The sequence below is a fragment of the Homo sapiens genome, chromosome 16 (assembly GCF_000001405.40).
Source record: "Homo sapiens chromosome 16, GRCh38.p14 Primary Assembly".
NCBI lineage: Eukaryota > Metazoa > Chordata > Mammalia > Primates > Hominidae > Homo > Homo sapiens.
In genome coordinates this window covers 3667932-3691413 of record NC_000016.10, presented here as the reverse complement: position 1 = coordinate 3691413, position 23482 = coordinate 3667932, and the positions used below count along the sequence as shown (strand labels likewise).

Genomic DNA, 23482 nt, shown 5'->3' with positions numbered 1-23482 from the left:
CCCCATTTCTACAAAAAATTTTTTAAAAAATTATGGGGGCATGGTGGTCTGTGCCTGTGGTCCCAGCTACTCGTGAGGCGGAGGCAGGAGCATTGCCTGAGTCCAGGAGGTTGGGGCTGCAGTGAGCTGTGATCGCAGTGACAGAGCGAGACCCCCTCTGAAAAGAAGGCAGCAGCCCACCCCCTCCAGTTTCGCTTCTGCGGTTCTGAGAAGACACAGTATCTTACACTGATGACATCTGTGAGGGCTCCTTGCCAAAACCACACCCTGACACTGTGGCATTTGGTCCTGTGGATTTCTCTTTCAGCAACAGCCCGACTTAGAGATGTCCACGCTAGCTTCTGCTAGACACCCTTGATGGGACGAATTACCATATTGTTTCTCGTGTCTTCCTAATTCTCATTCTTTCTGCATATTTGTCTTTTCAGGAAAACCAATTCTGTGTCCTCGGAGGACCACAGCCCAGTTGGGCCCCAGGCGAAACCCAGCCTGGAGCTTGCAGGCAGGACGACTGTTCAGCACGCAGACCGCCGAGGACAAGGAGGAACCCCTGCACTCGATTATCAGCAGCACAGAGAGCGTGCAGGGTAGCCTTGGCTCGTGCTTTGGTCTGGGAGGGCTTTTTGGTTCACTGCTGTGCGTAAAGGGGCATTTTCAGGGTGGAGGCAGTGATTGGTAGAGCCACCGCCTTAGGTGTGAAATCAGAAGGTCTTGGCTGTAGGGAGTGCTGCGCCCTCCATTTCTGTCCCAGCGAGGGACTTCTGCCAGTGTCGGGTGTGTCTTGCCCCCTCTGGTGGCCACCCGTGAGTTTGCCGTCCGGCACCTCCCCTGAGTGGTGATTCATGGCACATCTGCTAATAATCATGGAAGCGGGAGGGGAAACTCAGCATTGGCCCAGTCTGCGCAGGACCGAATTCTGGAGCTGTCTTTTCATTCCCTCTGAAGTATAAAAAAGCAGTCTTTGGAGCCAGTCCTGAAGTGGCTCCATTTCTGGCTTTTAAGTGGGTCGACAAGAGTAGAATCTTTGAAGTTAAAAAGAGAAGTGAGGTTTTCTTGTTATTTTGATTTCTAACTAATTAATTTGGAAACCGCTTTTTTGAAGAATATAGTCCAGGCACAGTGGCTCACACTTGTAATCCCAGCACTTTGGGAGGCCGAGGCAGGAGGATTGCTTGAGGCCAAGTGGTCGAGACCAACCTGGGCAAGATAGACCCTTTCTCTACAGAAAAAAATTAAAAAGTTAGCCAGGCATGGTAGCACACACCAGTGGTTCCAGGTACTTGAGAGGCTGAGGCAGGAGAATCGGTTGAGCCCAGGAAGTTGAGGCTGCAGTGAGCACGATCCTGCCACTGCATAGCAGCCTGGGCAACAGAGCCAGATCCTGCCTCTAAAAAAAAAAGAAAGAACATATAATCTGGTTCTTAGAGGCAGTCCAGTTCTCGTAACCATGCACATTGGGAAACCAGGCTCAGCATTCCCTCGACATAGCCCGAGGCATGTCTGGCCTCAGCAGTGGGAGGATTTGTCCTGCCCTGAGACCTCCTTTCTGAGAGACTTTTTGTTTTGTTTTGTTTTGAGACAGGGTCTTTCTCTGTCACCCAGGCCGAGTGCTGTAGTGCAATCATGGCTCACTGAAGCCTCGACCTCCCTGGCTCAAGTGATCCTCCCACCTCAGCCCCCTGAGTCACTGGGACCACAAGTGTGTGCCACCACCGTCAGCTACTTTGTGTATTTTTTGTAGAGATGGCGGGATCCCTCTGTGTTGCCCAGGCTGGTCTTGAGCTCCTGGGCTTAAGTGATTCTCCTGCCTTGGCCTCCCAAAGTGCTGGGATTACAGGCATGAGCCATGGTGCCCAGCCAGACTTTGTTTCTGTCTGCTTCTTTCTTTTTGTTCATGATCTTAAATGTGTGGGAGGCCGAGGCGGGCCAATCATGAGGTCAGGAGATCGAGGCTATCCTGGCTAACATGGTAAAACCCCGTCTCTACTAAAACTACAAAAAATTAGCCGGGCGTGGTGGCAGGCACCTGTAGTCCCAGCTACTCGGGAGGCTGAGGCAAGAGAATGGCGTGAACCCGGGAGGCAGAGCTTGCAGTGAGCCGAGATCGTGCCACTGTACTCCAGCCTGGGTGACAGAGCGAGACTCCGTCTCAAAAAAAAAAAAAAAAAAAAGTTTAAAACTCATAAACTTAAGCTTTCTTTGGAATGTGACGTAGCGTATTCTTGCACAAAAATAGAAGTTAAACTTTGTTGGTTGTGTCTGTGTTTCATTACTAGGTTCCACTTCCAAACATGAGTTCCAGGCCGAGACAAAGAAGCTTTTGGACATTGTTGCCCGGTCCCTGTACTCAGAAAAAGAGGTGCGTTCCCTGCTAACCATGCCCGATGCTAGCAAAGTTTCTTTTCACAAAGCTGGTTTTTATGCCATTCTGGAGAATTGCCAGATAATATATTAGCTGTGAGAAAGCATTAAACTTTGGACAGGTCCTCATCTTAAGCTACCAGTGAGAGGAGTTTTACCAGAATCTGTTTTGGTTTCCTGGATAAGTGTATCCAGATGGTTCTTTGGGCTGGATCAACTCTGGGAATTAATTGAATTTTGCCAATAATTTTAAAAGTTCCCGAAATACAGGCCTGGTGTGGTGGCTCATGCCTGGGAACTCAGTGCTTTGGGAGGTCGAGGCAGGAGGATCACTTGAGCCCAGGAGTTTGAGACCAGCCTGGTCAACACAGCAAGACTCCGTCTCTACAAAAAATTTAAAAAATTAGCCAGCTATGGGGGCACTGACCTGTGGTCCCAGCTACTCAGGAGGCTGGGGTGGGAGGATGACTTGAGCCTGGCAGACTTTGGGGCTGCAGTGAGCCATGATTGTGTTACTACACTGACCTGCACAACAGAGTAAGACCCTCTCTCCAAAAAAAAAGTCCCCCAAATCCTAGCGTGCAGCTCTGCTGAATTCCGTCTCTGTGGAGCTTTGGATACGCTCTGAGGCCCCTTTGCCTGGTGGGACTACCTGCAGGTCTTGGCGGCTTTGGCTGCCGGAGGAAGAAGGTTCCCCAGTCCTGTGTGTATGGAGCAGGGAGGAGTTACTGAGGAAATTAAAACGCATTTGGGGCCAGGTGCGGTGACCCACACCTGTAATCCCGGCACTTTAGGAGGCCAAGGTAGGAGGATTGTGTGAGTCCAGGAGTCTGAGACCAGCCTAGGCAACGTGAAGAGACCCCATCTCTATTAAAAAAAACCCCGCAAAACTCATTTGGGGTGACAGGACAAGGAAAAAGAAAGATGAAGGCCACCATCGTTGACATGCTGATTATTGCTGGAAGGCAAAGGAGAGTCCTGAAGAAAGTTTGTAAAGCAGCAGATTTCAAAGCTCAGAGGGCCTTCTAGGAGCTGTTTCCGGGTTTCGTACTGATGAGTGCTGCATTCCTGACTCCCAGTGACCTCCAGCTTCCGCCCAGATCAGCCACCGCTTCCTCTTCACCTATGTGCTCTTGCGGACTTAATTTTTCTATTTTTAATTGTGTGGGTTTTTGTTTTTTTTTTTTTTGGTTTTTTAATTTTTTGGAACAGGGTCTGGGTCTGACGCCCAGGCTGGAGTGCAGTGGTATGATCTCGGCTCGCTGCAACCTCCGCCTCCTGAGCTCAAGCCATCCTTCCTCCTCAGCCTCTGGCTGATATTTGTATTTTTTTGTAGAGACGGAGTTTTGCCGTGTTGCCCAGGCTGGTCTTGAACTCCTGGGCTGAGGTGATCTGCCTGTTTCAGCCTCCCAAAGTGCTGAGATCACAGGTGTGAGCCACCACACCCGGCCTCTCTCACTGATTTTAAATGGAAGGTCTGTTTGAGGTCAGTGTGCTTTTCAGCTCCTGAGGGACAGCTGGGCCCTGAGGCCTGTTTTTCTCCGGGTGTGGTAGACCTGGTGTTTGGTGGTCCCCACTAGATGAGATGAAGCTAGGGAACCTGTTTTTGTGGAGTAGGAGTGTATTAGTCCATTTTCACGTTGCTGATAAAGACATACCTGAGACTGGGCAATTTACCAAAGAAGGAGCTTTAATTGGACTTACACCTCCATGTGGCTGGGGAAGTCTCACAGTCATGGTGGAAGGCAAGGAGGAACAAGTCCCGTCTTACATGGATGACAGCAGGCAAAGAGAGAATGAGCAAGACACAAAAGCAGAAACCCCAAAAAACTGTCAGATCTCATGAGACTTACTCACTACCACGAGAACAGTACTGGGGAAACGGCCCCCATGATTCACTTATCTCCCACCAGGTCCTTCCCACAACACGTGGGAATTATGGGAGTACAATTCAAGGTGAGATTTTCGTGGGGACACAGCCAAACCATATCAAGGAGAAATGGATGTTTGAGTGATATGCCGTCATCCCTGTGCAGGAGTTGGGAAAGAAATTGTTCCTCGCAGGCCTCTTTTGTTTGTTTTTTTGAGACAGAGTCTCTCTCTGTCGGGGCTGGAGTGCAGTGGTGCCATCTCGGCTCACTGCAACCTCCGCCTTGTGGGTTGAAGCGATTCTCCTGCCTCAGCCTCCTGAGTAGCTGGGATTACAGGTGTGTTCCATCACGCCCAGCTAATTTTAATATTTTTAGTAGAGACTGGGTTTTGCCATGTTGGCCATGCTGGTCTTGAGCTCCTGACCTCAAGTGATCCACCTGCTTCAGCCTCCCAAAGTGCCTGGATTACAAGCATGAGCCCCCAACCCCAGCCAGAGGGCTCTTCTTAAAGTTATAATTAACAGATGGACACGTAACTTCAGGCTTGATTAAAAATCCTGAAAAGGGCCAGGCACCGTGGCTCACGTCTGTAATCCCAACACTTTGGGAGGCGGAGGCACAACGATCACTTGAGCCTGGGAGATCAAGACCAGCCTGGGCAACATAGCGAGACCCTGTGTCTATAAAAATTTTAAAACAATTAGCTGGGTGTGGTGCATGCCTGTGGGCCCAGCTACTTAGGAGGCTGAGGTGGGAGGATTGCTTGGGTCCAGGAGGTTAAAGCTGCAATAAGCCGTGATTGCAGCCTCCAGCCTGAGTGACAGAGTGAGACTCTCAAAGAAATCCTGAAAGGAAAGTCAGCACCTTCAGTCACTTTGTGACCGGCCCAGAGGAACTGCCTTTGACTAAAGCAGAAACTCTTTATGCTTTGAGAATTGACTATTCTCCTCTACCTTTTAACAGTTATTGGAAGTGCAGCTGACCAGATAGATCCTGCAGGATGAGTGTCCTTCATTGTCTGTGCCTCCCATTTCTATTCCTGTAGGTGTTTATACGGGAGCTGATCTCCAATGCCAGCGATGCCTTGGAAAAACTGCGTCACAAACTGGTGTCTGACGGCCAAGCACTGCCAGAAATGGAGATTCACTTGCAGACCAATGCCGAGAAAGGCACCATCACCATCCAGGTACCTCCCTCAGTGTCCAGGCGTGTGGCAGGCCCGGCCATGCAGCAAGGACAGGATCCGCCTTCTAGTGATGTCTCGGGTCCCAGGGACGTACTGGCCGTCCGTACCACCAGGATAACTCTGGCTATAATTTAGTGTTACAGTAGCACTCATTCATTATAGAAAATTTTGGAAAAGCAGGTAAGCAGAAAAGAAGAAAATTTGAAATCACCCCATCATCCAGCAATAACTACTGGTAACATCTTAGCATATGGCCACACAGGGTTTTGGTATATGCAGGTATTAACATATCTAAACATATCTTATTTTTAATGTACTCTTTTCATATTTTTAACTGCGTTTTCCCCTCAAAATGCCGACGAAGCAGTGCTGTGGCTGCTGCTGTAGCCTTGTGGAAATTTTAAGGCTGAAAAGTTAGGCCAAAGAGGATCAGGTAGGGGCCCTGAGAGACATTGCATCCAAAGACAGCTGCCTCAGGACCTGTCATCCCAGGGTCACGGCGTCATTGCGGGGGTGTCTGTCTCTGTGGAGAGGTGGACAGACTGGCCTCGGTGGGATCTGAGTATTCCCTTTTAGGGTGCTGGCTTGCTCTGAAGGTCATGCCACATAAATGAATGCAGGCACGCGTGAATGAATGGACTTGTGAAGGGATGGCTGTTTTAATTAAAGGAGGGGCTTTTGTGAGGTGTCAGCTTTACGCACTCCCTCTTGGGTTTAGAGAATCCAGACTGAGCCCCGTGGTACGTGCCAGCTGTTTGTCATAGCCCTTGGTCATAAGGATTGGGTGGGGAGTGGGTTTCTTCTCTCCCTGCCTTTGCTGAGCTGGCCTGGCTGTGGAATGGGCCCTGTGGGCAGGGCTGCAGCGCCCTGTGCTTTCCTCCTGTTTTCAGCACAGAGGTTCCTTGCAGATGATTGAAAATGGATGTGCTGGGGCAAGGGGTCATGGGGACATGATTCTTGGTCTTTAGCAGAGGGGCCAGTCCTCATGTGCCAGTACTTCCTGGTACTAAGACCATTTATGTTACAATAATGATTTTTGGTTTTGTCTTTTGTCTTCTTTTTTCTTAAAGAACAGTTCTAGATTTACAGAAAATTTGAGCAGGTAATTTAGAGCTCCATTATATCCTTTGGGACCCAGTTTTTCTATTCTCAATAGCCGATGGGAGCGTCATGGTCCATTTGTTTCATCTTTTTTCCTTTTTTTTGGAGACAGAGTGTGGCTGTGTCGCCCAGGCTGGAGTGCAGTAGTGTGATCTCAGCTCACTGCAGCCTCCGCCTCCCAGGTCCAAGCAACTCTCGTGCCTCAGCTTCCTGAGTAGCTGGGATTACGGATGTGTGCCATGATGCCCAACTAATTTTTGTATTTTTAGTAGAGATGGGGTTTCACCACGTTGGCCAGGCTGGGCTTGAACTCCTGCCCTCAAGTGATCTGCCCGCCTTGGCCTCCCAAGTGTTAGATTACAGGCATGAGCCACCATACCCAGCCCATTTATTACAATTAATTAACTAATATTGATAGATTATTCTTACCTAAAGTTTTAGAAAAGGAAGCTTTCTTGTGGGGTCTCAGAGGTATTATGCCATTCCATCTCATCTACTGATATCTCAGCTACATTGCTTTTTGTTATTTTTAGGGGATTTTCTAGGGAATAAAATATGCAGCCTTAATTTATCACTGTCTAGCTTGAATTGATATTTAACACTTCATTGTAAGAATCTTACAACAGTATCATTCCGGTGGCAAAATCATCTTTTTCTTTTGATGTCAAATATTTTATGTATATACCTGTTGTAAACCCTCACAAATTCCTTTTTATTTTTGTTTGAGACAGAGTCTCATTTTATTGCCTAGGCTGGAGTGCAGTGGTATGATCTCACCTCACTGCAGTGAGGCCTCTGCCCCCCGGATTTAAGTGATTCTCCTGCCTCAGCCCCCCAAGTAGCTGGGTTTACAGGCACATGCCACCACACCCGGCTAATTTTTGTATTTTTAGTAGAGATGGGGTTTCACCATGTTGGTCAGGCTGGTCTCAAACTCCTGACCTCAAGTGATCTGACTGCCTTGGCCTCCCAAAGTGCTGGGATTACAGGCGGGAGCCACCGCGCCTAGTCTCACCATTTCCTTTTAAAATCACATTGTGCGGGTCGCCTGGCAACAGATGATTTCTGTCTACATCTGAAAAATCTATAGTTTTTTTTTTTTTTTAGTAAATATTTTAGAACAGATTTCAATTTTCAGAAAAATTTTAAAGATAGTACAGCGTTGCCATCTACTCCAACACCCAGCTTCCCTTATGATTGAAACCTTATGGCCGGGTGCAGTGGCTCACGCTTGTAATCCCAGCACTTTGAGAGGCCAAGGTGGGCGGATCACCTGAGGTCAGGAGTTCAAGACCAGCCTGGCCAGCACGGTGAAACCCCATCTCTAATAAAAATACAAAAATTAGCCAGATGTGGTGGTGTGCACCTGTAATCCCAGCTGCTCAGGAGGCTGAGGCAGGAGAATTGCTTGAACCCGGGAGGCGGAGGTTGTGGTGAGCTGAGATCGCGCCATTGCACTCTAGCTTGGGCAACAAGAGTGAAACTCGTCTCAAAAAAAAAAAAAAAGAAATGTTAGTATATTACATTGGTTACAGTTAATCAACCGGTATGGATATATTATTCTTAACACAAGTCTATTCAGGTTTCCTTAGTTTTTACCTCATGTCCTTTTTCTCTCCCAGCATCCCACATGACATTTAGTTGTCCTGGCCCCTTAGCTCCTCTTGGCTGTGACAGTTTCTCAGACTTTCCTTGTTTTTGATGACCGGGAAGATTTTTTTTTTTGAAATGGGGTTTTGCTCTTGTTGCCCACGCTGGAGTGCAGTGGTGTGATTTCAGCTCACTGCAACCTCCGCCTCCCGGGTTCAAGCAATTCTCTTGCCTTCAGTCTCTCGAGTAGCTGGGATTACAGGTATGTGCCACCATGCCTGGCTAATTTTGTATTTTTAATAGAGACAGAGTTTCTCCATGTCGGTCAGGCTGATCTTAAACTCCCGGCCTCGTGTGATCTGCCTGCCTCGGCCTCCCAAAGTGCTGGGATTATAGGCATGAGCTACCGCACCCAGCCTGACCTGGAAGGTTTTTATGTTTGTTTAGAGTCAGGATCTTCTTCCGTCTCCAGGTTGGGGTGCATTGGTGCTATCAGGGTTCGCTGCAGCCTTGACCTCCTGGGCTCAAGTGATCTACCACATCAGCCCCCTGTAGCTAGGGCCACAGGCACATGCCACCATGCCTGGCTAACTTTAAAAAAATTATTTTTTTTGCCAGGCATGGTGGCTCACGCCTGTAATCCTAGCACTTTGGGAGGCCGTGGCGGGCAGATTGTCTGAGCTCAGGAGTTCAAGACCAGCCTGGGCAACGTGGTGAAACCCTGTCTCTGCTGAAAATACAAAAGAAATTAGCTGGGTGTGGCAGCGTGTGCCGGTAGTCCCAGCTACTCGGGAGGCTGAGGCAGGAGAATTGCTTGAACTCGGGAGGCGGAAGGTGCAGTGAGCGGAGATCACACCACTGCACTCCAGCACTCTAGCCTGCGTGACAGAGCGAGAAATTTTTTTTTTTTTTTTTTTGTAGAGGCAGGGTCTTGCTTTGTGGCCCAGGCTGGTGTCAAACTCCTGGGCTCAAGCAATTTTCCCACCTTGACCTTCCAAAGTGCTGGGATTACAGATGTGAGCTGTTGTGTCCAGCCCTATGTTTTCTTCTAGAGGTTTTATAGCTTTAGCTCTTATATTTAGATCTATGATCCATTTCAAGTTAATTTTTGTGTATGGTGTGAGGTAGGGCTTGAGGTTTATGTTTTGTTTATGGGTGTACAGTTGTTTCAGTACTATCTGTTAATAGACCTATCATCCCCCATTGAATTACCTTGGAATCTTTGTCAAAAATCAAGTAATACACTCTCTGTGCATCTCTGTTCCTGTGCTCTGTTTGGTTCTTTCATCCATGTGTCGATCCTTAAATGCCCACATCGCACTGTCTTAATTATTGTAGCTTTATAGGAAGTCTTAAAATTAGGTATTTTAAATTCTCCAACTTCGTTCTTCAAAATATTTTGAAAATTTTCTAAGTTCTTTGTATTTCCATATACATTTTAGAATCGGCTTGTCATTTTCTACAAAACCTGTGAGGATTTAGACTGGGATTGCAGTGCAGATCAGTTTGGGAAAAAATAAAAATAAATTGAAAATAGGAGCTATTAGTTGCATTTTTTCCTTTACCTTGGTCTAACATTAACCTTTCCCTTAAGGACTCTATTTAAGTTTCTGATGTATTAAACACTTAAATGAAACTTATATTTAATGACTGATATCAACTAGATACTAATTTTAAGTAGTTTTTTATTCATAATTATTACATGATCTACAATAAATGAATCAGGCTGGATTTTGGACTATTCAAACCGGCACCTCAGAAATAATTGCCCAGAAGCCTCTTGGTGCCATGTTTCTTGTTGGCTGCTGGGGCCCGTGAAACATGCACACATGTGTGCACTGCAGTAACTGGTGGTGATGTGGTTTTGGCACCCATTCTGCCTGTGCTGCCTACAATGGGAAGGCTGACAGCTGGCCAGTCTCCCTGGCCTGCTGCTTGCTGTGGATTATTTGCTGAGTGGCACTGACCACCCTTGCTTTGCCAATGGAGACAGCACTGGCGCCTGGTGCTAGTGGGCTCCCATGGCTCCTGCAGGCTGTCCTGGAGAGGAAGTCTTTAGAAAGGAACTTCCTAGAAGGAAGTTCAGAAAACTGTTTCTGAGGGCCTTTGTCCCAATTCATAGATGTGGAGGCTTGGAGTGAGCTCTTTTATTTAAGGTGGTCTGCACATCATAGCAGAGCAAGCTGGGGCTGTGGCTACATTATGGGCATGTTGAGCGAGGATCTGCAGATGGGAGTCTGACTGGGCTTTGAGGAAGGAGGAGCCCATGGTCAGTAAGGCCTTGTGTGTTCACCAGCGCGTTGGTCTGTATTGTGATTCAGGCTGCTATAGCCGAATACCTTAGACTGGGCAATTTATAAACAACAGAACCCTATTGCTTACAGTTCTAGAGGCTGGGAGGTCCAAGAGCAAGGGGCCAGCAGATTGGGCATCTGGCGAGGGCCCTTTGACTCAGGCAGTGCCTCTTGCATCTTCATACAGAAGGTGGAAGGGGCAGGCAAGCTCCCTCAAGCCTGTTTTCTAAGGGCCCTACTCCCATTCATGAGAGTGGAGCCGTCGTGACTTGATCACCTCCCCAAGGCCCCCCTCCCAGTGCCATCCCCTTGGGACTTAGGTCTTAATATATGGATTTGGGTGACACTGGCACTCAGAGCAGAGCAGCTGCAACAGGATAGGCCAGATAGAGGCTCCAACGCAAGGGCTCTGCCTTCCCGCAGGAGAGGCGTCTGTGCCCGCTGTTCCCATGGTGGTAGGGTGGGAGTAGGTGCCGCGTGCAGAGCTGCGTTCCCAACACCTGCTTCCTGGTGTCCTCAGTCAGATCATTCTGCTGGATTGAGAGAGCCACCAGAGGGGATCACTGTTCCCCAGAACCACAGCCAGGGAGAAGGCGTGGGGGCCACATCTTGATGGTGGGAGAGCTGTGCTTTTCCTAATTGCTGGTGTAATATTTTCTTTTCGGAATGGTTTTTAACAAACAAAGCAACTTTCTGCTGTCCCTTCCTGTTTTCTCTGGTGAGGCCAAGCTGCTATGACTAGAATTAGTCTTTTCGTTTTTTCTTTTTTTTTTTTTGAGATGGAGTCTCACTCTGTCACCCAGGCTGGAGTGCAGTGGCGCAATCTCAGTTCACTGCAGTCTCTGCCTCCTGGGTTCACTGGGCTCAAGCAATTTTCCTGCCTCAGCCTCCGAGTAGCTGGAACCACAGGTGCTCGCCATCATGCCTGGCTAATTTCTTTTTTAGTAGAGATGGGGTTTTACCATGTTGGCCAGGCTGGTCTTGAACTCCTGGCCTCAAGTGATCCGCCTGCCTTGGCCTCCCATAGTGCTGGGATTACAGGCATGAACCATCACTCCCGGCCCCTAGAATTAGTCTTTTCTGATGAGCATCTGGTGCTACCTGGCTGGGCCCTGTCTGGCCAATGTCATTGACACCACTTGAGTCCCTGGGACTGCTGGTGCACTCACCCGGCTCCCCAGGTGCTGGGGGCTTGGCACTTAGTGCGTCTCTCTCCTCAGGATACTGGTATCGGGATGACACAGGAAGAGCTGGTGTCCAACCTGGGGACGATTGCCAGATCGGGGTCAAAGGTAAGCGTGGGGCCCCCACACAGCCTCCCCCTTCCCCTCAGGGTGCAAGGATCCCTCCAGTAGGGGTGGCCCTGGGTGCCAGATTAAGTAAGAACGTTGTCAGTTGCATGCCACGCAGTGGGTACTGTGGGAACACCTCATGACATGACAGCCATCCCTCAGTATCTGGGGGTTGGTCCCTCAGTATCTAGGGGTTGGTTTCAGGACCCCCCTTGGATAGCAAAGTCTGCAGATGCTCCAGTCCCGGATTAAATTGGTGCCGTATATTGTAGACACATCTTCTTGTATGCTTTAGATGGTCTCTAGGTTAGTTATAATACCTGATAGAATGTAAATGCTAGATATAGATATAACATAGTTATGTTTTTTATACTACTTTTTATCATTGTGTTGTTTTTTATTTTTTTTCTGAGTATTTTCGATCCTTGGCTGGTTGAATCTGCAAATGTGGAACCCGTAGATAGGAGGACCAACTGTATTGGCTCACTGCAACCTCTGCCTCCCGGTTCAAGCAACTCTCCTGCCTCAGCCTCCCAAGTAGCTGGGATTACAGGCACGAGCCACCACGCCTGGCCAATTTTTTGTATCTTTAGTAGAGACGGGGTTTCACCATGTTGGCCGGGCTATCCTCCAGCCTCAGCCTCCTGAGGCGTGACTACAGGTGCACGTCACTATGCCCAGACCCACAGAGCAGTTCTGACCAGAACCATCAAACCCACAGACGCCGCATCCCAAGCCCGTTCTCATCACGGCGCTGTGTGAGAGGGGACTGATCCCTCTGACCCTCTCTGCGTCAAGCCCACAAGGCTCAGGGAATCGACTTTGCAGAAAAGTGCTGTGAGGCAGAGCAACACATTTGGACTCAGACCAACAGCCTGGGAACCTCCAGCGGTCGCCCTTTTCCAGCTCTGGGCAAAGCACTTACTTCAGTCTCCTCATCTGTAAGATGAAAACACTAGGTCGGGTGCGGTGGCTCACGCCTGTAACCCCAGTACTTTGGGAGGCCGAGGCAGGTGGATCACGAGGTCAGGAGATGGAGACCATCCTGGCTAACACGGTGAAACCCCGTCTCTACTAAAAATACAAAAATTAGCTGGGCGTGGTGGTGGTACCTGTCATCCCAGCTACTCGGGAGGCTGAGGCGGGAGAATCACTTGAACCCGGGAGGCAGAGGTTGCAGTGAGCTGAGATCACGCCACCGCGCTCCAGCCTGCGCGACAGAGCGACACTCCATCTCAAAAACAACAACAACAACAACAACAAACAAAAAACCCACCCTAACTGTGACTTGACCCCCACGTTACGTCTTTTGTTGTATTTCTCTCGAGGTTGGTCTGCTGTCCTGTGTAGCGGCCACCAGCTGCATGTGGCAGTTTAAATGTAAATGCATTCAAATTAAATAAAAGGGGACATTGTGCTCCTCAGCTGCACAGGCCACATTGCAGGTGCTCGGCAGGCTGTCGCATTGCACCTGGCAGAACGTTCCTGTTGTTGGAGAAAGTTCCATCGGACAACGTGGGCCAGGGCAGTGGGCGTGTGTATTTTACTTGACTTTGGCCTTAGGACCTTTGGCAGTATTATAGTAGAAAAATGAAGTGCTGTGCGGTGCTTACAGACGCATGCGCGTGATTTCTACTCTTTTTCCCACAAAGTGTAGAGTCCAGGAGACTTGAATATGGAAGCCAGTTTGGAGCCTCTCCTCACTCCTGGCCTTCCTATGGAAGGAGCTTATTCAAGGGAAAGAGCTTATTCAAGCTGCTCTTTCCCCACCCCCAGGTGTGACCCACAGGCCTCCACCTGTCTGGGACAGGCAGGACTGTGAGCTTTGGGAATCAAATGGAAAACACACTTGTCCCACTGCTGCCAGCTGGTTGTCCTAGGGCTAATGTGTCACCTCTCTGTGACTTAGCTCTTCACGTGTAGAATGGGGTGGAAAAGTACTCGGTGTGGCTGTTTTCAGGATGAAGGGGTCTTAGCGGTGCTCGCAGAAGAGCCACGGTGTTGGGAGTGTCTGCTCTCTGGAGGGGAGGCTGCCTCACTAACTGGCCTCTGCCCCACAGGCCTTCCTGGATGCTCTGCAGAACCAGGCTGAGGCCAGCAGCAAGATCATCGGCCAGTTTGGAGTGGGTTTCTACTCAGCTTTCATGGTGGCTGACAGAGTGGAGGTCTATTCCCGCTCGGCAGCCCCGGGGAGCCTGGGTTACCAGTGGCTTTCAGATGGGTGAGTGACGAATGTCGCCTGACAGGCAGCTCAAAGCTGAGCTGGAGCCCTTAGCATGGAGTTTGGAAAGGGATGGACTCAGAAAACGTACACAGGCATTTTCTGGGCTTTTTATATGAAATCTGACTCTCCCATTTTGGGGAGTTAGTGACTTTTGTGGCTCCAGGTGGCCTATGGCACCTGTCTGGTCCCATGTGGTTGGTCACCACCACTGCGCTCGGGAAGGCAGGTCCGGCCCGCGCTGAGCTCCTTTCTCAGTGGCTGAGCTGCAGGACTGGCCTGTCGCCTGGTGGACACTATGCAGCCTCCTGTGACCGACCTTCTGCAAGAGCTCATTCTGCTTCCTCCCAGCCCTGGCATTTCCTGGCTTTGTCTCCCCAGCCCACTTCTGCCTCTATAGGGTGAGGAGCCTGCTGGGGGCTTTTTTTTTTTTTTTTTCCTTTGGGACGGAGTTTTACTCTTGTTGCCTAGGCTGGAGTGCAATGGCACAATCTTGGCTCACTGCCACCTCCGCCTCCCAGGTTCAAGCAATTGGCCTGCCTCAGCCTCCTGAGTAGCTGGGACTACAGGCGCATGCCACCACGCCCAGCTAATTTTGTATTTTTAGTAGAGACAGGGTTTCTCCATGTTGGTCAGACTGGTCTCGAACCCCGACCTCAGGTGATCTGCCCGTCTTGGCCTCCCAAAGTGCTGGGATTATAGACGTGAGCCACCACGCCTGGCTCCGAGGGCTTTTTAGCAGGTGAGCCGCTTCCAGCCAGCCGAGGCGTCCTCCCTCCGTGATGCCATTTCTGCTCCACAGTGTGTGCACTGTGCTCAGCTTGACTCCCCACTCTCCCAAAACTAACATTCCTGTTTAATTCCATGGGAGCGGGGCTCAGAGTAAACTTAGGCCAAGGCATCAACATGGCCCTGCCGGGGGATTCCCCCCTCCTGTGCTTCGGAGATGGTTTTCTGCTCTTCTTAGGGGGCGCCTGTCCCCCTGGCCTTTGTTTTTGCCCCTGGGCATCTGGCACCCGATTTGGAGCTGGGCCAGTCCCCCACAGTGCCCCAGGCCTGCTTTTGGGGTAAGCCCAGAAGCTTCTTCGAAGCCCAGGGTCGGTGGAGGACCCCCGCCCCCCCGCCCCCCGCCCGAGGGAACCAGGAGAACTCTGCCGCCTGCGACAGGCTCATCGTTCCTGATGGGCATGTGATGGCCTGAGTGGTGCGCTGGGGTCAGAAATGGGGCATTTGAGGTGTGTTGTGTGTTGTTTGGGCTCTGCCTATGAAACCCTCGGGAACCGCTGGAGTCCCATGCAGGGTATGTCCCAGTGTCACATCCACCTGGCTTTTCCTTTCTTTGCCTGCCTTAGTTCTGGAGTGTTTGAAATCGCCGAAGCTTCGGGAGTTAGAACCGGGACAAAAATCATCATCCACCTGAAATCCGACTGCAAGGAGTTTTCCAGCGAGGCCCGGGTGCGAGGTGAGCGGGAGCCCGGGCCCAGGCTCACTCTGGGATCCATGTGTGGCCTGGAGGCCACCAGGTCAGCAGGCATTTTCCCTGGTTCTACCTGCACGTAGGGTGCACAGGCAGAGCCGTGAAGGGCCGAGCCGCTGCGGGACTGGGAGGGGGGCTGCCCGCCAGGGCTGCGTAGCATCGAGCTCCTGCTGGGACTGGGAGGAAGCTGGCCTGGCTGAGGCGGACCTCCTCCTCCTTCCTCTGCGTGGCCCTTGGCCTTTAGTGCACCTGGGGGTTTGGCGCAGTCCTGTCCCAGGATGTGGGCGTGGCCTTCCCTCTTTGTGTCCTGCTGGACACTCAGGGAGGCCCTGAGTACCCCCAGGAGTCAGCCCAGAAAGCCATGTTCCAGCCACAAGCTGACATTGCAGTCTCGCAGCAGCCGGGGCCTCCACAGCTCTGGTTCTCACGTGGGCTCCGCTGCTGCCCCCGTGAGACTGGGGGGAGGACAGGTGTCCCCACTGTGCCCTGTTTCTGTACCTGTGAAGTGTACACAGCATGGAGGACCCTTCCCAGCAGGCTGGCGCTCATCCTGGAGCTGCTGCAAAGCTTGCGTTTCCACAAGCATTGTAGATGCAGTGTGGTTTTTCTTTTGTCCCTTCCAGATGTGGTAACGAAGTACAGCAACTTCGTCAGCTTCCCCTTGTACTTGAATGGAAGGCGGATGAACACCTTGCAGGTGAGCCCTGAGTTCCTCTAGGGACTGGTCAAACATGGAGACAAATCTGTACGTTTCAGGGCAGCGGAGAAGAGATGAGCCCAGGGGATGCGGCCCAGAGTCACAGGGCGAGCTGCTCTGTGGAGATGAGACCTGGGTGTGGGGATGAGACAGGGGCCCAGCTCTACCACAGCCCTGCCCCTGTGCACCGGGCAGCCGGGGTCAGGGGTCAGGGTTCACTGAGGCGTAACGCCCATCCCAGCTGGCTCACCACATCAGTGTGCAGCCATGGTGTTCAGTGCAGCCACAGAGCTGTGCAGCCACCCCGCATCAATTCCAGAACATCCCATCACCCCAAAAAGCAGCCCTTTCCCCACTGCCCCTCCCCCAGTCCCAGCAGCCACGGTCTCCTTTCTGTCCATTGTGCTGCCTGTTCCAGACGTTTCTCCTGGATGGAGTCACACGGCATGCTGTCCTCAGTGACTGACTTCCCCCTCGCGGCTCAGCTGCGGTGCAGCGTGGGTCGTCATCGCTCTCACGGCCCACACTGTATTCGTCAGCTCGCCCCTGCTGGGCAGCGTCATCCTCTCCCACAGGCCCCCTCAGGTCCCGGCTGGTCCTCCTGACATGTTGTCCTGAGGAGCTCCTGCCCCAGAGCCTTGTGTGTCTCCCCTGCACTACCCGGCATAGCCCAGCGGTGGGGCTGGAGAGGGGTCTACGCCTGAGACCACCGCCCGTCTGTCCCAGGAGCCTGTCCAGGGCCAGGCGCTGCACTGGCTCAGGCCTGCACGGTGGTGGAGAAGACGTGCGTGGTGAACACGACGCCCTCCCCGCCGATCTCCGTTTCCAGGCCATCTGGATGATGGACCCCAAGGATGTCCGTGAGTGGCAACATGAGGAGTTCTACCGCTACGTCGCGCAGGCTCACGACAAGCCCCGCTACACCCTGCACTATAAGACGGACGCACCGCTCAACATCCGCAGCATCTTCTACGTGCCCGACATGGTGAGGCACTGTGGCAGTCCCACGGCCCTCAGGGTGACTCTGTTGTCCCCTGTGGCATCAGCTCTGCAGATGTCACATGATTAACATGGCAGTGTGAGGGCATGAAAAACATAGGTAGTGCTGGGTGTGGTGGCTCACGCCTGTTATCCCAGCACTTTGGGAGGCTGAGGAGGGTGGATCACCTGAGCCCAGGAGTTGCAGACCAGGCTGGCCAACATAGTGAGACCCCATCTCTGAAAAAAAAGAAAAAAAGAACAGATGCCTCTGGGTGGGTAACCACAGAGGTTTCCTCTGTCTCAGGGGTCACACATGGCGAGGGAAGGATTGATGGGCATCTCAGTGCAGGCTGGGGTGGAGGCTTGTGGACTGGGGTGTGCCTGGGGAGGGCCCTCAGAGCCTACATCATCTGCTGTGGATCAGTGGATGCTGTCCTGCCAGGCGCTCTGGGAAGGGCCTGTGGTCTTGCCTCTCCGTTGGCCTCTCTGTGTGCTTCCTCCACACCCTCCACCTCCCCTGGTTTCCTTTACCACATTGAAGTTCCCGCAAATCCTGCCGTAAGGAGACCTATTCGGGGCTGAGAGCCAGCCCGTCCTGCCCCCAGGCTCTTCTGTCCTTGGCTGCCTGGAAACTCTCCTAATGTCCTGCACAGCTGGCATCCATCTTGGAAAGAGCCAGCCAGGTGTGGCCTCCAGGGGCTTGTTAGAGTCTCAGGCCCCACCCAGGGCTCCTGCGTGGGAGCCCACATTTTAATAAGATCTCCCCGCATTTTAACCGGATCCCCCCCATTTTAACCAGGTCGCCCCACATTTTAACCAGGTCTCCCAACATTTGAACTAGATACCCGCCGCATTTTAACCAGATCCCGTGATGAGGTGTGGGTCCCGGTTCGGGAAGTACCAGTGTGGAGCAGGTGTTGGCAGGCACGTTCCACGAGGGCCAGACAGGAGCTGGTCCCAGCGTTTCGGGCCCGGTGTCTTTCGTAGCCACTAACCCTGCCGGGTGAGGAAGCAGCACTGCCCTGCTGCCCTCTGAGCACACAGGGCCGGGTCCCATGAGCTGCGTAGACACTGAAATTTGAGTTTCATCTTCACGTCTCATGAGATCATCCTTTTTGAAATCTTTCCTCAACTGTTTGAAAGTGTAAAAACCACTCTTAGGCTACACAGAGGTAGGCAGTGAGCTGGATCTGGTCGGAGGGCTCTTTGCTGATCCCTGACCTGTAGCAAGGTTTGGCTGTGTTCAGTGTGTTCAGGGGTACGTGCAAGGTTCACTCTCTTGTGTCCTCCTTAGGGGGTGGGCTGGGGAGGGCGGCAGCTGCCAGAGAAGGCCTTCAGCCCCTGCAGAGCCACAGTGTGGGGCATCGTGGGGCCCCTGCACTGGGCTTCAACTCAGAGCAGACGCTGGGGGAGGGCGAGGCGGGAGTGGGCTCTGGATTCATCGTGTCCGCCCCCACCTCCCAGCCAGGGCCTGCCTGGGGAGGGTCAGTGCTGCATGATGGCGTGTTCTCCTCACCCCCAGAAACCGTCCATGTTTGATGTGAGCCGGGAGCTGGGCTCCAGCGTTGCACTGTACAGCCGCAAAGTCCTCATCCAGACCAAGGCCACGGACATCCTGCCCAAGTGGCTGCGCTTCATCCGAGGTACGCTGCTCAGAGTCCGTGAGCAGTGCCCCCGTGGCCCAGTGTCGCCCGCTGCATCTGTGAGGGACCGTGCTGATTCCATTCTCAGCAGCCCTCTGCAGCGAGAGCACCGCCGTCGGCCTGCGCTGCCTGTGTGTCAGTCGCGTTTACAGACCCCGGGAGCTGCCCCACCTCCCTACGCACATGACTGATCTGGGGGGAGCACTGGGGTGTTCAGATTGAGGTCTTTCCATATGTAGGGATACTGAGTTTCAGATTGATATGTGAGTTGTGTTACGTTTGAGTGAGATTATAGTTTAAGAAAGACTTCAGTATTTAAGCCTTGGTACACAGAGGTGCGAACCATCCCTGATAGAGTTTTGTTTGTTTGTTTTTTGAGACGAGTCTTGCTCTGTCACCCAGGCTGGAGTGCGGTGGTGCAATCGTGGCTCACTGCAACCTCCTTAAGTGATTCTCCTGCCTTAGCCTCCCGAGTAGCTGGGATTACAGGCGCCCGCCACCACACCCGGCTAATTTTTGTATTTTTAGTAGAGATGGGGTTTCACCATAATTGCCGGGCTGGTCTCGAACTCCTGACCTCATGATCCGCCCACCTCGGCCTCCCAAAGCGCTGGGATTACAGGCGTCAGACACTGTGCCCAGCCAGAGTTGTGATTTTTAACATAAAGCCCAGGCTGTCATTTTCCGAGTGTTACCCCGAGGCTGTCCCGGCCACCCACAGCCCAGGTCACTGTTCTGGGAGGTGGCAGGACGTAGAGGAAGCTCCGGCAGTGCCGCCTCCCTGCTTCCCTCTTAGCACACGTGCTGGGTTGAAGGCCAGGCCTGAAGACAAAGGGCAGGTTAATGGGGAATGTTGGGTGGTGTGGAGGGCCGCAGCCCCGGGAGAAGCTGACTGCCGTGTCTCCCAGGTGTGGTGGACAGTGAGGACATTCCCCTGAACCTCAGCCGGGAGCTGCTGCAGGAGAGCGCACTCATCAGGTGAGCCTCGGGCCGCGGGGAGAGGACCCTGCTGGGGACAAGGCCCCTACCTGCTCCTTTGCCCCCAGAGGGCCCTAGCCGTGGCCCATGGAGCTGAGAGCAGAGGTGGTCGGGGAAGCCCGGCCTGCACATGGGGGCCCTCAGGAGCCTTCCAGGTGCTGGCCTGGCCTCTGAAGCTTGTGGTCCAGAAGAAGGTGGGGGTGGCTGGTCATGGCTGAGGCTGGAGTCTGGATAGGGGGAGGGGCCGCAGAGCCAGACCTGCCCACCTGTGCCCCAGGGTTGTGACTGCAGCCCTGCAGCAGGCCAGCCCTGTGTGGAGGGGACTCCAGTGTGCTGGCTCCAGGTTCTCCATCAGTAGCTATCACTTCCCCACTCTGGCCCCAGGCTCACCAAATAGTCTTTATTCAAAACCTCGCTTACTGGCTTTTTTTCCCCTAATGCAAGTAGTATTTCCTTACTAGAGCACATTCAAGTGACCTGTGCTCTCACCTAGAGATGACTGCTGTTGATGGTTTAGGGTGGGGTAGATTGGCAGCCACATAGGGCAGGTTTCAGAGGGAGCCTGTGGGGTGAGGATTCAGCTGGAATTTGGAGCCCTGGAGGTCTCTCAAGAGCCCACCACGTGCAGCATGCCATGGAACGGGCCTTGTTGGAGCCCCCAACGTGCCTGCAGTGTTTCTCTGCCCACCGGTTTCTCTCCAGTGTTGAAATGGAAGCAGATCCTCGGAAAAAGGATGAGTCTGGGTAATTGGTGTGTGTTGGGGCTGCGCTGTGGGCATGGCGAGAGGCCCACACCGAGAGGCACTGGTCCTCAGAGATTCTGTCCTGTGCCGCGGGCAGGAGCAGGTCTGGGGAGATGGTGGGCAGTGTGGTTTCCTGCCTGGTGGGTCCATGCCCAGCCCTGCGAGGTCACATGGCCTGCCGGTGATATCCTCCTGCCTCACCTTCAGAGGCAGAAAGCCATGGAGATTTTTTTCTTTTTTCAACCAAGCAAGCCGCAGTGATGTTTTATTGGTTGACTGATAGGGTCTTTCTTGTTGTCCAGGTTGGAATGCAGTGGTGTGATCACAGCTCACTGCAGCCTCAACCTCTTGGGCTCAAGCAATCCTTCCACCTCAGCCTCCCAAGTAGCTGGGACTACAAGTGTGAGCTACCATGCCTGGCTAATTTTTTTGTATTTTTTTGTAGAGTTGGGATCTCACTATGTTGCCCAGGCTGATCTTGAACTCCTGGGCTCAAGCGATCCTTTGGCCTCAGCCTCCCAAAGTGCTGGGATTCCAGGCATGAGCCACTGCACCTGGCCACTTAGATTTTTTTTTTTTTTTTTTTTTTTTTTTTTGAGACGGAGTCTTGCTCTGTCGCCCAGGCTGGAGTGCAGTGGCGCAGTCTCGGCTCACTGCAACCTTCGCCTCCTAGGTTCACGCCATTCTCCTGTCTCAGCCTCCCGTCTCAGCTGGGACTACAGGTGCCTGCCACCATGCCCGGCTGATTTTTTATATCTTTAGTAGAGACAGGGTTTCACCGTGTTAGCCAGGATGGTCTCGATCTCCTGACTTCGTGATCCGCCTGCCTTGGCCTCCCAAAGTGCTGGGATTACGGGTTTGAGCCACTGCGCCCGGCCTGTTTTTGTTTTTCATGCAATTGAATTCATATTGCTTATACTGTTTCCTTTTTTCTACCTAGTTTATTTGCACCACTTCCCATGTTGTTTTTTGGAAGCACTTTTAATTGCTACATCATGGGACATCACAGGGATGTACCATAGTTTACTGATCCCGTCCCTCGGGGCTGCACAGCTGGGCTGTCTCAGTGTTTCTGCAGTTATGACACTGCAGTGCATGTTTATCTTTGTTCTGAAATCTTTTTTTTTTTTTTTTTTTTTTTTTTTTGAGACGGAGTCTTGGTCTGTTGCCCAGGCTGGAGTGCAGTGGCACGATCTCGGCTCACTGCAAGCTCCGCCTCCCGGGTTCATGCCATTCTCCTGTCTCAGCCTCCCGAGTAGCTGGGATACAGGCACCCACCACCACGCCCAGCTAATTTTTTGTATATTTAGTAGAGACAGGGTTTCACTGTGTTAGCCGGGATGGTCTTGATCTCCTGACCTTGTGATCTGCCTGCCTCGGCCTCCCAAAGTTCTGGGATTACAGGTGTGAGCCACCGCGCCTGGCCTGTTCTGAAATCTTTACCTGCAGCTGTATTTCCTTAGGATAGAATACTAGGGGTGGGGTTACTTGGTCGGAAGATATAACTATATAAAAGGTATTTTCCTTGCTGACTAAAGAGATGTTATATAATCAATGAAAAGGGGGCCTCAGTGCTTGTTTCCCCACACAGCCGTGCTGGCTTCTGACAGCAGGACCCCGACTTGCTGCCGACATGACCACAGGGCAGCAGTTGTGCTGACCTCAACAGGATGCATCCCCGCCCCACAGCAGCGACTGTTCTGTGGTCGTTAGAGTCGTGCTCTTTGGTGTACTGACCCTGTGCACTTCGAGTGCGCCTGTGGGTTACTGGTGATCTGCCCAATGTTTCAGTTCACTTCAGTGAAGAGAGGGCTTGGGGCTGACTCCCGGATTATTATTGCTGGTGCTGGAGTTGTCCCCACCTTGTCCATCCCCATCACCCTGCCCAGGAGTGGCCACAGGAGGGGAGGTTCCAGGTACAATGTCCCTGGGCTGGATAAGGCAAAGGACACCCACTGAACTGAGGACACGTCTGGCCTCATCTGGGAAGCTCACGGATGAAGTGGAGGCAGGGGCCAGGCCCTGTGGAGAGGGAGCTCCTGGCGTCCCTGCGGGCCGAGGCGGCTGCGTTCCTCTCCCCATCCTGAATGTGTTTCCTGAGTATTTCTTCTCCACTGAGAACTGTGCTGAGCCTGCATAAACACGTGTTTCATCCTGTGAGGGGAGCCGTGAGTCCTCACTCATAGTTGTGGAAACTGAGTCACAGAGGGGTGGTCCTGCTCAGTAAGGGAGCTGCATTCCTGGCTGTGGCAGGCATGCTGGCCCACTGGTAGTGCCCGAAGCTGCAGAGCAGGGGTCCTCATCCCAGCTTGTGGTTGTCAAAGGTTGCGTTGTCAGTCTGAGAACTCATCTCGATCAGAAAAGAGTCAGCCGAAATTAGAGCTTTTGAAAGAATCACAGGCTTAAAAGTTGGAAGCATGGTACCAAGAACATGTTTTTCCTCGAATCCTGTGAGAGGAAGTTGCCTTCTCGATGCCTTTGGGGTGCATTTCCAACAAACAAGGATGTCCTTCCCTTTGTAATTAACAGATGTTATAGGTATTTTGAAGCTATGTAAATGTCACATTCTTCATGAAACTCTCAATACATTCATTTATTTACTTAAAATATTTATGTGTTGGCCGGGCGCGGTGGCTCACGCCTGTAATCCCAGCACTTTGGGAGGCCGAGGCAGGCAGATCACCTGAGGTCAGGAGTTCGAGACCAGCCTAGCCAACATGGTAAAACCCCGTCTCTACTTAAAAAATAGAAAAATTAGGCTGGGCGCAATGGCTCACTCCTGTAATCCCAGCACTTTGGGAGGCCGAGGCGGGTGGATCACGAGGTCAGGAGTTACCAGCCTGCCAAGATGGTGAAACCCCATCTCTACTAAAAACACAAAATTTTAGCCAGTCGTGGTGGCAGGCAGGTGTAATCCCAGCCACTCGGGAGGCTGAGGCAGAGAATTGCTTGAACCTGGGAGGTGGAGATTGCAGTGCGCCAAAATCACGCCACTGCACTCCAGCCTGGGCGACAGAGCGAGACTCATCTCAAAAAAAAAAAAAAAA

General features: G+C 52.1%; 1 protein-coding gene and 1 pseudogene across 4 annotated transcripts in view, besides 1 other annotated feature; one reads left to right on the top strand and one right to left on the bottom strand.

The window, feature by feature from the left end:
• Positions 1 to 23482, top strand: part of TRAP1 (TNF receptor associated protein 1) — a 59488-nt gene that overhangs the window by 26111 nt on the left and 9895 nt on the right. For 2 of the 3 annotated variants that reach the window (NM_016292.3, XM_011522345.3), the window contains exons 2-11: positions 429 to 587; positions 2277 to 2359; positions 5278 to 5418; positions 11624 to 11695; positions 13756 to 13916; positions 15269 to 15378; positions 16017 to 16090; positions 16920 to 17075; positions 18594 to 18714; positions 19623 to 19692. In NM_016292.3, the coding sequence (NP_057376.2) occupies positions 429 to 587; positions 2277 to 2359; positions 5278 to 5418; positions 11624 to 11695; positions 13756 to 13916; positions 15269 to 15378; positions 16017 to 16090; positions 16920 to 17075; positions 18594 to 18714; positions 19623 to 19692 (1147 nt within the window). The remainder of the gene's footprint in view (positions 1 to 428; positions 588 to 2276; positions 2360 to 5277; positions 5419 to 11623; positions 11696 to 13755; positions 13917 to 15268; positions 15379 to 16016; positions 16091 to 16919; positions 17076 to 18593; positions 18715 to 19622; positions 19693 to 23482) is intronic. The other variant, NM_001272049.2, reaches the window with a different exon arrangement.
• LOC124903630 (uncharacterized) lies at positions 9778 to 16920 on the bottom strand (annotated as a pseudogene). The gene has a single exon (XR_007064950.1). The product of XR_007064950.1 is annotated as an uncharacterized LOC124903630, transcript variant X1 (transcript).
• Positions 19279 to 19778: an enhancer, noted in NCBI's record as "H3K4me1 hESC enhancer chr16:3721637-3722136 (GRCh37/hg19 assembly coordinates)". NCBI's record gives its function as "activates a minimal SCP1, AML or CMV promoter by ChIP-STARR-seq in naive H9 embryonic stem cells {active_cell/tissue: H9 hESC(naive)}" and the evidence as "EXISTENCE:reporter gene assay evidence [ECO:0000049][PMID:30033119]".